Source organism: Homo sapiens, chromosome X (assembly GCF_000001405.40).
Source record: "Homo sapiens chromosome X, GRCh38.p14 Primary Assembly".
Taxonomy (NCBI): Eukaryota; Metazoa; Chordata; class Mammalia; order Primates; family Hominidae; genus Homo; species Homo sapiens.
In genome coordinates, this window is record NC_000023.11 from 68,894,105 (window position 1) to 68,906,182 (window position 12,078).

General features: G+C 51.0%; 3 annotated features.

The window, feature by feature from the left end:
- Nucleotides 694-1,207: an enhancer, noted in NCBI's record as "H3K4me1 hESC enhancer chrX:68114641-68115154 (GRCh37/hg19 assembly coordinates)". NCBI's record gives its function as "activates a minimal SCP1, AML or CMV promoter by ChIP-STARR-seq in naive H9 embryonic stem cells {active_cell/tissue: H9 hESC(naive)}" and the evidence as "EXISTENCE:reporter gene assay evidence [ECO:0000049][PMID:30033119]".
- Nucleotides 1,208-1,719: an enhancer, noted in NCBI's record as "H3K4me1 hESC enhancer chrX:68115155-68115666 (GRCh37/hg19 assembly coordinates)". NCBI's record gives its function as "activates a minimal SCP1, AML or CMV promoter by ChIP-STARR-seq in primed H9 embryonic stem cells {active_cell/tissue: H9 hESC(primed)}" and the evidence as "EXISTENCE:reporter gene assay evidence [ECO:0000049][PMID:30033119]".
- Nucleotides 9,186-9,685: an enhancer, noted in NCBI's record as "H3K4me1 hESC enhancer chrX:68123133-68123632 (GRCh37/hg19 assembly coordinates)". NCBI's record gives its function as "activates a minimal SCP1, AML or CMV promoter by ChIP-STARR-seq in naive H9 embryonic stem cells {active_cell/tissue: H9 hESC(naive)}" and the evidence as "EXISTENCE:reporter gene assay evidence [ECO:0000049][PMID:30033119]".

Sequence of the window (12,078 nt, forward strand, 5' to 3'; positions counted from 1 at the left end):
GCTCCTGCCTTGGGATATGTGAGTTACTAAGAAACCAAGAATTCTGAGAGAGAAAGAGAGCTAGAGTTAGTTCATTAGGGATACTTGGGACCTTTGTGGAGATGCAGAGGCCTCCCTGCCCTGGGCAGCTTTGTCTGTTGCCCAAGCAATAGTCCATTAAAGCTTCCTGGGCTGGTGGTGGCGGGGCACAGGCCAACAGTGGTGGGAGGGGAGGGAGCCCAGCAGGGCCTGAGCCCTGGTACAGCACCACCCCTGGCTCTGAGAAGGGCTCAGAGGCAGAAGCGCAGCCAGGCCTGACCCGGAGAGGGCACCGCCAGCTGGAGGCTTGCTGCTGGGCCGAGACACTCCCGAACAGATGAGCCTCTCTATGTCCGGACGCCTTCCTGCCAGCCTTGCTCAGTGGACCTAGGGATTCTCCTTTGACAAACGTGGAAACCGAGAGGCTGCAGAGCTACTGAAGAGCCGGGGCAGGATTTGAATCCTGGCTGTGCTTCGTCCTTAGCCCGGCAGCCCGGGGAACCGGAAGGAAGGCTCAGGGTTCTAAGCCCAAGTCGCCCCGGCCAGGCTGGCACAGGGCAGCCCGGGGAACCGGAAGGAAGGCTCAGGGTTCTAAGCCTAAGTCGCCCCGGCCAGGCTGGCACAGGGCAGGGCTGAGCGCGGGAAGTGCTGGCGCAGGCTGCCGGGAGGGAGAGCTGTGTGTGTTTCCGTGTCTTTTTGTGGGCGTGTGTATGCCTGCGCGTTTCTGTATGTGTCTCTCCCGGCGGCTGTTCTGCTTCCTCAGCAAGCCTTTCCCTCCCCCCTCCACTTCGTTTTTCTTTCTTCTTCTCCTTATTCCTCATTGTCGTCTTCTTTTTTTTAATGAGTCTTAATTAGCGTCGAGTTCCTCCTCCCGCTCCCTACCCGCCCCCCTCTCCGCCCCTGCCCTCCCTTCCCTCCTCTCCCTCCTCCCCGAGGTACAGGCCAAGCGATCTGACAAATGCACTTGAGAACAAAGCGCCAGGCTAATTCGGGGCCTGCTCAGGAAGCAGGAGCTGAGCTGAGATAATGGGTCTGAAATAGCCCAGCATGATTATGCTTCCTCAGCCTGTGGCCAGGCGGGTGCAGGCTCAGGCGGGCAGGCAGGCAGGCAGTCGGCGGGCGGGCGGACGGGCGGGCGCCGGACGCCACTCGCCCAGGGTGGTGAGGGCCATGCTTCTGCACCCACGCCGGCCCTCCTCTGGCCTTCGCAGGAGCTGCTATCCCTCAGAGAGTCCGGTAGTCCCCAGTGGGGATGGTCCAAGGGTCAGCCAGAATCACACACTCAACCACAGTTACCCGACAGGTTGATGGCAAAGCTGAGTCACGAATCCAAGCAGCCAGGCTCCCTGACTTCAGTTCTCCTTGCTCGGTCATGCTGTCCCCAGCCTAGCTCAGTGGGAGGGGAGTGGGACAGGTGATTCAGAGCAGGGCTTGGGCCTCCTTAGCTCAGGCTTCTCTAGGAAGACAGAGCCCCCCAGGATGGCCAGAGAAGGAGGGGTCACAGATTGCTCTGGTATGCCAAGCAAGACAGGATGTTGGCATGGTGCCCACCAGAGAGATGGGTCAGATGTAACTTGTATACTTTTTGCCTTGCCTTCCTGGAGCTTGTCCAGAGCCTGAGACCAGACTGAGAGAGGAACAGTAAGGACCCAGGACGAGCAGAAATCGCCCTCCATAGGGCACTGCACCCATCCCACCTCCCTGCCCCCGCTGCTCATGCCTTCATCCCTATCCCAGACATGGCCTGGGGCCCAGCAATGAGACTAGTCATGGACCTTTACTCCCTGACCCAACTGTCAAGTTCACTGGCCTCCCAGACCCCAGGAACGAGTGACCTGTATGTGAACATGTGTCCCTTTTGCTTCATTCATCCACCCAATATGCATTTCTTAAGACCCTCCCAGTTCCAGGCTCAGTGCCAGGCCCTGGGGACTCAGAGGCAAACCAGACATAGTCTCTGCTCTCAGGGGCCCTTAGTGTGGTGGGGGTGACAGAGCAACCGAGAGATATAGTGCAGTGTGATCTGTGTGGTGACAGTTGGAATTCAAGAAGCCATGGGAGCAGAGAGGATGCCAGGGCAGGGGGTCAGGAAAGGCTTCACAGAGGAGGTGACATTTGAACTAGGCTTAAAAGATAAATAGGGCTCTGCCAGGGTAAAGATGGAGAGGGCTAGAGATTTGCTTCCTTCAAGGCGCAAGGGAACTGGGATGTGAAAGTGCTAAACAAGGCCGGGTGCGGTGGCTCACACCTGTAATCCCAGCACTTTGGGAGGCTGAGGCGGGCGGATCACAAGGTCAGGAGATCGAGACCATCCTGGTTAACACGGTGAAACCCCGTCTCTACTAAAAATACAAAAAAATTAGCCTGGCGTGGTGGCGGGCACCTGTAGTCCCAGCTACTCGGGAGGCTGAGGCAGGAGAATGGCATGGACCTGGGAGGCAGAGCTTGCAGTGAGCCGAGATCATGCCACTGCACTCCAGCCTGGCAACAGAACGACACTCCATCTCAAAAAAAAAAAAAAAAAAAAAAAAAAAAGGTGCTAAACAAATGTGTGCTGGTATTCTAAGGATTATTTACAACTTGAGATCCTGGGGCTGGAAAAAGGCAGAGGAACAGGAAGTGCTGGGCCGGGCAAATGGTCTGGGCTTGCACGCAGACCCGATTCTCTACTGCCCATGGCCTCCACACATAGTAATGATCGGACCTAAGACAAGACCGCCAGCCCTCTCCTTAGACCTGTAATGCTGACCTTTCTATTCCTTGATCAATCCTCAGTCCTGACCACACTGATGTAACCCAAATATCAGCCCTGGACTCCTGTTCTCCAGAGGTCTTCTGCCTTTGGTTTTCATTGTGAACTTTATTTCTGACTCCATTGCTCCAGCCCCCGCTCAGAATCCCAGACAGGTATGGCCCTCGCCATCTGCCTCTTTGCTTCGGACGCAGACTGCCACAGCACAGTTCACCTTCTATTGGTGCTTTTCCACCTACTGAGCTGTTCCAGGGCTTAGTATAACTTTCCTAGCTTTTCTTGCAGCAGGGTCTCTACAGGAGCCCAGTCCAGGCTTTCTGAGCATGCTTTCGAAGGCTCAGGCTGTCTCCCAGGGCCATCACATACAGTGCTACAGGTTGTGAACTGCATGAGGGTGTCTGGCCAAGGGTGTGAGTGGGAGCTGAAACTCAAGCCTGCATTATACTTATCAGTTTTGTGCACACTGGTGCAGGCTACATCTGTCTACAGAGGATACTCTTTTCTAATTAGCACAAAGGTGCTGAACGGGTGGGAGGGGCCCTGGCTCCCTTCCCTGCTGCTCCCATCCCCACCAGCACCCTGGAGGAAAAGGCTTGGAGATGAGAACTCTGGAAGGCCCTCCTGGCTGAGAAGCCTGGGTTTGTGAGCTGCAACAAGTATCTGGCAAGTGAAGCCAGCTCCGGGACAGAGGCTGTTCCGGGCTGTGCAAAGGGACTGTGTGTGAGGATTAGTGAGAGGAAATGAAAATTGGGGATGGCCCTCAGGGGAACTGGCTGCAGATGATGTCAGAAAGGAGGCTGCCTCCTGGAGAGCAAGGGACCCGAATGGCTGCAGCAGAGGTGGGGGTGCAGGGAGGTTTGGGAAGGAGGGGCTAACTCCACTGTCCCCAGCAGCTAAGCAGGCAGCCACCTTCGGACCCCCGGCAGCCCATCTGGCTGTCTGACCCTTTGCCACCTCCTAGCTCTCCTGGCGCCTCAGGAGCTGAGGAGGCACATTCCTGTTGAGGTCCTCCAAGGACCTGGGATGGGAGGACAGGGAGGAAGGGATCATCCCCACAGGGTCTTACCTCCTGGCAGCACGTTTCACAGCTTGCAAAATGAGTCGCTCTTCCAAACACATTTTGTGTAGAGTCTCTTAGTCACTTTGCAAGGTAGGTATTATTATTCCCATTTTACAGGAATGGAAAACCAAGGAAACTAGTTATCTGAGGACTCGAGGCTCAGGGAGATACGAAGTGACCTGTTGAAGGTCATTCAGCTAGTAAGATGCAGAACCCACATTTGAACTCCATTGTAAAGAACAGGCTTCTCTCATTCCACCTGATTTCCAGCCATGAACAAGAGCTGAGGGCCAGGTGTTACCTGTTAATGGTTTCCAAAACTCAAAATATTCTGTTTTGAAATGATTTGCTCCACTTTCCAAATGAGAAAAACTGAGGCTACACACAGCTAATAAGTGGCAGAGTTGACAAGATGACCTTGGGGGTATGTGTGTGTGGGGGAGTTGGTGGTGTCGAGAGAAAGAAAAATGGGGGGCAGGTGGCCAGGAGCTAGGATGTGTCATGGAGCACCCATGCCAGCTGTGTAGAAGAACAAAGACTCCAGGGCCCAGCTGTAAGTGGCTTTGGGATGGGTGGGGCGGTGGTGGGTAATATGTGGGTCTGGTGGTATTGCAGAAGGTTGTGCGGTGGAGAAAGGCAGGCTCCATTTAGTGAGATTTTTCCCTGAGTTAGAAAATAGCTCTTTCTTCTTTTTCAGGGAGGCTGGGCTTTCTCTCCAACTCACTGCCACTAGCTTCCCCCTTGATGGGGACTCTGCCTGCTCCCACGTCCCCAGCTGGAGCCCCCAGCCCTGCTCCCTAATTCCAGCGGGGCAGGCAGCGTGCCCGCATGCCCAATTGATTCTCCCAGCACACACAGGTAATTCATCTCAGCTTCCCTTCCAGGCCCCCACCCCCAGATGTGCTGCCTTCCAAGCAGCCAGAGGCCAGCTCACCCCACCCATATTGCCGGCCAGCTGCAGCCCCTCATTTCCCGGGGAAGAGAGAACTAATAAAGGACAGTCTCTGAGCTGCAGCAACCCCCCCACCCCAATTCTTTCTTGCCGCAGCCGCCCCATAAAACTGAGGGGAGAGATATAAAGGGAGCAAGTGTGAGTGGAGATAGAGTTTCCATCTGAGGAGGGGAGTGGAGAAGTGGGGACGTGTGGCTGGGGCTGTGGGCAGGGCTGAGACAAGAGTGGGCCGAAGCTGGGGCCCAGCAGAGATCGAAGGCCCCATTCACAGCTGCTTGGGCCCCACTGTCGGCTCTTGAAGAAGTAAGAAGGGGAATATGGTGGTTAGAGGATGTGAGGTGTGCCACAGACTGGTAGGCCTGGTATGGACACTTAGGATGGGCAACCCCGAAGGCCTACTTTCTGCCTTCTTCTTCCCTCCCCCTCCCTGATCCCTCACAGAACCCAGCAGGAGAGCCGGAGCCCTGACCTCCAAACCTAGCTCCACCCCCAACCCTCCGAATGACCTTGATCTGGCTCCTTTAGTCTCTGCAGGCCTCAGTCTCCTCGGCTGGGGAATGGGCTTCAGTACTCCACTCACCACACAACCTACAAGTCTATGAGTTAGGACCAAGATGTGCTATTGGCTGTGCTGTGTGGGAACATGTGGGAAGTGCTCTTGTTCCTTATCCCTGACCTGGCAGGGCCCTTGGGAGAAGGTGGGGTCTTACATGGGTATGTGCCAGGTGCTCTGGAATGGCACTGAGTCTGAACTCTGGGGGAGGTAGGCCCTCTTCCGATCTTCCCAAGAGAAGGAGGTGGGCAAATCTTAGGCTATACAACTCTCTTCTGCCTCCCTTACGGGGCTCCTGATATAACAATATTTGTTCAATTCAACAATTGTTCATTGTGTACCTTCTATTTGCCAGGCACTGTTGTAGGAACTGGGGATACAGCAATGAGCAAAACTCAAAAATCCCTCACCTCCTGCACTTTCTTTTATCTCTATGTTTCTTTTTTAAGAGATAGGGTCTTGCTTTGTGGCTCAGGCTGGAGTGCAGTGGGAACAATCATGGCTCACTGCAGCCTTGACCTTCTGGGCTCAAGTGATCCTCCTGCCTTAGCCTCCTGATTAGCTGGGACTACAGGTGTGCACCTCCACACCTGGTTTATTTTATTTTATTTTATTTTATGCTTTTCATTATTTTTATTTATTTTTATTTTTTTGAGACAGGTCTTACTTTGTTGTCCAGGCTGGAGTGCAGTGGTATAATCACGGCTCACTGCAGCCTCTACTTCTTGGGCTCAATTGATACTTCCACCTCAGCCTCCTGAGTAGCAGGGACTGCAGGTGCATGCCACCACACCTAGCTAATTTTTGTGTTTTTTGTAGAGATGGGTTTTTTGCCATGTTGCCCAGGCTGGTCTCGAATTCCCAGGCTCAAGAGATCCACTGGCCTCAGCCTCCCAAAGTGCTGGGATTACAGGCATGAGACACTGCGCCCGGCCTAATTTTTAATTTGTTTATTATTTATTTTTTGGTAGAGACAGGATCTTGCTATGTTGCCCAGGCTGGTATTGCACTCTTAGTCTTAAGCAGTCCTCCTACCTCGGCCTCCTAAAGTTCTGGGATTACAGGCATGAGCCACTGTGCCTGGCCTTGAAGCTGAAGTTATAGTGGGGAGAAAGATAAACAATAAACAGGTGAGTCTTCTTTAATAAACCAGAGTTTAGGAAGCAAGGTCAAGCGTCTTTGGGCCACCTTAGGACCTCTCCTCCCTGACATTGCTGTCAGAAGCCCCATGCACCTCTCCCACAAAAGCTCCTTTGTCAGCACTTGGCCAGTTTCGGCTGGGTTCAGAATTTAAGGGTAGGATACAATGACCAATCCCTTGTGTCTGGGTTCTGGAAAGAGAGCCAACCACATCCTGGACTTAGAGCATCCTCCTACCCTGCCCACTGGGCTCTGCCTGCTTGGGAAGGAACAGAGATTCTGCCCTGTGAGTGAAGCCTGAGCTGGCCCTGGCATTGGCCCCATGGCCAATATCAACCTTTCTAGTCACAGAGGGCCTAGGCAGCTTGGGCCCTCATTACCTGGGTTCACAGCAGGAAGAGCTGTGGATTAGGTGCTGGATGACTAAACTCTAATCTCCTCTTTGCCACTAACTCCCTAGCAGACAGTGGGCATGAGATTAATCGTTACTTACCTTGGTTATCAGGAATATGGCAAATGCAACCATGTATGAGGAAGTACTTTGCAAACTGTAAGGCTCTTGCCAGATATGAGAGTTTATTAGTGTCTGTCTTTGCATTTCCCAGGTTTTTGCTCAAAGCAGGACCTCAGTAAGTGCTTAACTGAGTCCTTACATCAGAGAGCACCCTGCCAGCTCCTCTGCCCAGTGTGCTCATGGCTCAAGGAGCAGAATTGGGGTGAGGATGGTCCAGAACAGTTGATCTTTGCTCAGCAGTTTTTGCCCTTTTTCTGGACCTGTCATTGCCTGGCTATATGTCCTGGGCCAAATCCTTTGACTTCTTGGAGCTCAGGGTCCTTGTCTTTCAAGCAGGAAGAAGAGTCTCCTGCTCTGCCTCCCCCTGAGGTTTCTAGTGAGGATCAAATCAGACACTATCAATCAGAGCACTTGGCCAGTTGTATAGTGGGAAACAGATGACACCAACTCCCAGGCCCACAGGGCCAACAGAGCACCAGGACCATACCTTCCTCCCAGCAGCCCTGATGTTTAATTGAGATGGTTATTCCCAGGGCCTGACTCAGGAGGGGCCTAGCATGGGGGAAGGGGATTTCCCAAGCAGAGCCAGGCCTGGTGCCGCCAGTCCCCTTGTCCACCCTCCCATCCCTGCCTCTACTCAGCTTGGCTCCCTGACACGAGTCTGGTGCTATGAAAGCGTCACCTGAGCCTCTTCCAGATGCCCCTGCTCACTCCAGGGAGGGGTGGGGTGATGATCTTTCTCAGCTGTCACAGGAGGGGTAGAGAGTGAGAGAGAGAAATTCACAGAGGGTGCAAGATCCAGACACCAAGAAGAGGAAGCCCCAGCAACTGAGAGGAAGAAAGAAGGAGAAAGAGAGGAAAAGATGTGGAAAAACAGAAACCGTGTGAGAGGTGCAGAGAGGCAGTGGATACCAAGACTAAGGGAATGAGAGCATTGGGAGAGGCTGGCATTTGTGTGTGTGTGTGTGTGTGTGTGTGAGAGAGAGAGAGAGAGAGAGAGAGAGAGAGATTGAGACTAACAGATGAGAGTGAGACAAAGACCTAAAGGAATATCACACACTGATATTATGTGTGACAGAGGCAGACAAAAACAGAGAGATAGTAAGAGTGGGAGAGAGCCTGCGAGACACTTGTGCAATGGAGAGAGAGAGAGTGTGTGCATGAGAGCCCAAGTGAGTGTGAATATTGCTATCAACCAGAGGCAGAAAGCAACTAAGACAGTTTTCCTTCTGCTGCTCCCTACCAAGGTGCAGGAGAACAGTGCAGGACTGGGGGAGGCAGGCCTGGGCTGAGTCCCATGGTGTGGGGGAGTTAGGTGTGGTGGGGGGATATCCCAAAGTTCCTGACTCCCCCAGCCAGGAGAAGCCCCTGGGACTTTGCTGTCCCAGCCCCTTGCTACTTCAGAGGGAAGCTGAGACAGTGCTAGAAAGGAGACGGACCCTCAGGGTAGAGTGGGGCAGAGGGCTACCTGGCTGGCTTCAAACCTAGAGTTGGGCCTTTCCCTTTCTGGGGCCTCAGTAGGCCTTTCTGTACAGTGGGTGTCTCTGGGGGAGGATGGTGGGTGGGTGGGGGAGTGGATTTAATAATCTCTTCCAGCTCAAATGTTCTAGGATTCATCTAAGGAAAGGGAGGAGAAAATGGGACCCCTAAATCTACAGAACCCCACAGGCTGATAATTTTGTCTCCGTATGGATATTTTTCTGCAGAGAAGGTTAAGAAGTTAGATTCTCCGTTCCTAAGGGCAACACAGAGGGGTGTCTGGGAGGGGCGATCTAGGGAAGCTCTACAGAAGGCCTGCTTGGCTCTGTGCAGTAGGAGGCTCCCTGATCCCCAAGGGGTGGAGGAGAGCATAGCTTGCCTGCAGGCAGGGGAATCTGCAGGATTGCCTGCTGGGGTCCCTGCCAGGCAGCTTATAGGCTTTTTTGAGAGTCGTTGGGCAGGGTTTGGGTACCCTCGTGGCTGTGCCGCCTCCAGACAACCTGGGACTTCTCTCAGGCCTGGGGTCTGGCTGCTGTGGGGCACAGGCTTGCCCCCTGCCCTGGGCTGCCCTGATCTGCTGCCTGTCCTAGCAATTGAGACCTCAGTCAGCAGGGTAAAGGAAGATGGCGAGGGCTGGTGTTGGTTGCCAGGAGTGGGCCAGCTGAGGAGGGCTTAAGAGCTATACCACAGCCCCATTGTCTTGCCGTACTGCTGGAGTGGGGCCCCATCGGGATTATGCAACTGCTGCCCTGAGCACCATGGACCTGGAGTGTGGTAACAAAGACAACAAAGCTTTGCCTGGCTGGTGGGTGTGTGTGAGTGTAGGGGAGTGAAATGGGGGTAGCCTTGTGCAGGTTTTTCCATGTTCTGTGCTTCCTCCTCCTTACCTCACTTTGCAGGCCTGCCTTTCACTCTCCTAGAGTCCACAGGATCTTATCCTCAGGGTGGAGGCTGCTCGTGGTCCAGTGGGCAGGCCTTGCCTGGGGCTTGAAGGCTTTGCCCAGCCCAGGAGCCTCGCCCGTCCCTAGCTCCATGGCATAGAGGTCTGACCTGGTCACGACACTTATTTTCCAGATTGATAAACTGAGGCCACAAAGAGGTCCCAGCCACATCCTCCCTTCAGTTGTTCTGTTTGAGTCTAAGGGCCCCATCCAGTGCTTGCTTGCATCCTGGTGGCTTTGTCTGGGGATAAAGATGCCAGTTCCTTCACCTTTGTTCTCCATCTGCCTTGAGGGATCATGTAGCCAGGAGGAAGTGTGGCCATGATCGAGCCTCTGTACCTGTCTCCAAATCTGCTGATTTTCTTGGTTGGTGGTTTCTTTTCCTTTCTTTTCTTTTCTTTTCTTTTCCTTTTCTTTCTTTCTTTCTTTCTTTCTTTCTTTCTTTCTTTCTTTCTTTCTTTCTTTCTTTCTTTCTTTCCTTTCTTTCTCTTTCTTTTCCTTTCTTTCTTTCTTTCTTTCTTTCTTTCTTTCTTTCTTTCTTTCCTTCCTTTCTTTCTCTTTCTTTTCCTTTCTTTCTTTCTTTCTTTCTTTCTTTCTTTCTTTCTTTCTTTCTTTCTTTCTTTCTTTCTTTCTCTTTCTCTCTCTCTTTCTTTCTCTTTCTCTCTCTCTTTTTTTTCTTTTTTCTTTTTTTTTTTGGCCCGGGAAGAGGGGAAATGATAAAAGTAATGCACACTCTCCATAGAAGATTTGAAAACCACAGAAGAGTATTACTAAGAAAATAAAACCTATAATCCCACTAACCAGGGAAAATCACTGTTAACTTTTTGGTATCTACATACACACACACACTTCTCCTTTTTATACATGAGATCACACTGGCTATCTTTTTTTTTTTTTAAATTGTGCTAAAACAATTTATCACATAAAAACACATAACATGAGCACGTTGGCTCAGGCCTGTAATCCCAGCACTTTGGGAGGCCAAGGCGGGTGGATCATGAGGTCAGGAGTTCGAGACCAGCCTGGCCAAGATGGTGAAACCCCATCTCTACTAAAAATACAAAAATTAGCCAGGCGTGGTGGTGCACGCCTGTAGTCCCAGCTACTTGGGAGGCCGAGGCAGGACAATCGCTTGAACCCGGGAGGCGGAGGTTGCAGTGAGCCAAGATTGTGCCATTGCACTCCAGTCTGGGCGACAAGAGCAAAACTCCGTCTAAAAAAAAGAAAAAAAAAACACCACACACATAACATGAGATCTATCCTCTGAACAGAATTTTAAGTGTACAGTACAGTATTGTTAACTATGAGCACTGTGTTGTGCAGCAGATCTCTAGAACTTTTCCATCTTGCATGACTGAAACTTTATACCCACTGAACAGTAACTCCCCATTGCCCCCTCCCCCCAGTCCCTGGTAACCACCATTCATTCTACTTTCTGCTTCTATGAGTTTGACTATTTTAGATACCTCATATACATGGAATTGTGCAGTATTTGTCCTGTGACTAGCTTATTTCACTTACCATAGTGTCCTCCTCGTTTATCCATGTTGTGTCATATGACAGGATTTTCTTCTTTTTAAAGGCTGAATAATATTCCATTATATATAAATATATATATAGGCCTGAGCAAGTTCCTTCCCCTCTCTCTGGCTTCAGTTTCTTACATGTACTATGGGGGATGGTACCAGATGTTGCCTTTCAGCTCTGATTTTCTTGAGGTCTCTGTGAATAGAGGTAGAAGGAAGGTGGGTGCTATGGACTGAGTGTCTGTGCCTGCCCCCCACCCCCGCCGCCCTACCACCAATTCCTATGCTGAAACCCTAATCCCCAATGTGATCAATGTGATGGTATTTGGAGGTGGGCCCTTGGGAGGCGATATATATATATATATATTTATTTATATATATATATTTATATATATGTGTATATATATAAATGTGTTATATATATATATCACATTTTCTTTATCCATTCATCCATTGATGGGCACTTAGGTTGATTTCATATCTTGGCTATTGTACATAATGCAGTGAATGTGGGGGTGCAGATCTCTCTTTGAGGTATTGCTTTCATTTCCTTTCAGTATATACCCACAAGTGGGATTGCTGGATTTTCTAGATTATATGGTAGTTCTACTTGTAATTTTTTTAGTAGCTTCCATACTGTTTTTCAAAGTGGCTGTACTAATTTACATTCCCGCCAACCATGTACGTAAGTGTTCCCTTTTCTCCACATCTTTGCCAACACTTGTTATCTCTCGGTTATTTTTTTTATAATAGTCATTCTAATGGATGTGGGGTGATATCTCATTGTGGTTGTGATTTGCATTCCCCTGATGATGAGTGACATTGAACACCATTGTATGTACCTGGTGGCCATTTGCATGTCTTATTCTATCCATTCTGTTTTGTATCTTGAGTTTCCCACATATCAGTGAGCTGTAAGCATTTCTCCATATCATTAAATATTATTTGCACTGCCCCTTCCTTCATCCTAAAGGCAGGGACCTGAACTGGGAGAGCCTCAAAGTCCTGCCAGGCTTCTGTCGGTGCCTGGTGCATCAGCAGTTCTGCCGGCCTGGCATGGGTAGAGATGGAAACAAATCCAGAAGAGTCACTGGAGTAGTAATAGGAGTCTAAACTTAGGTTGTGGTAGACAATCCTAGTTTC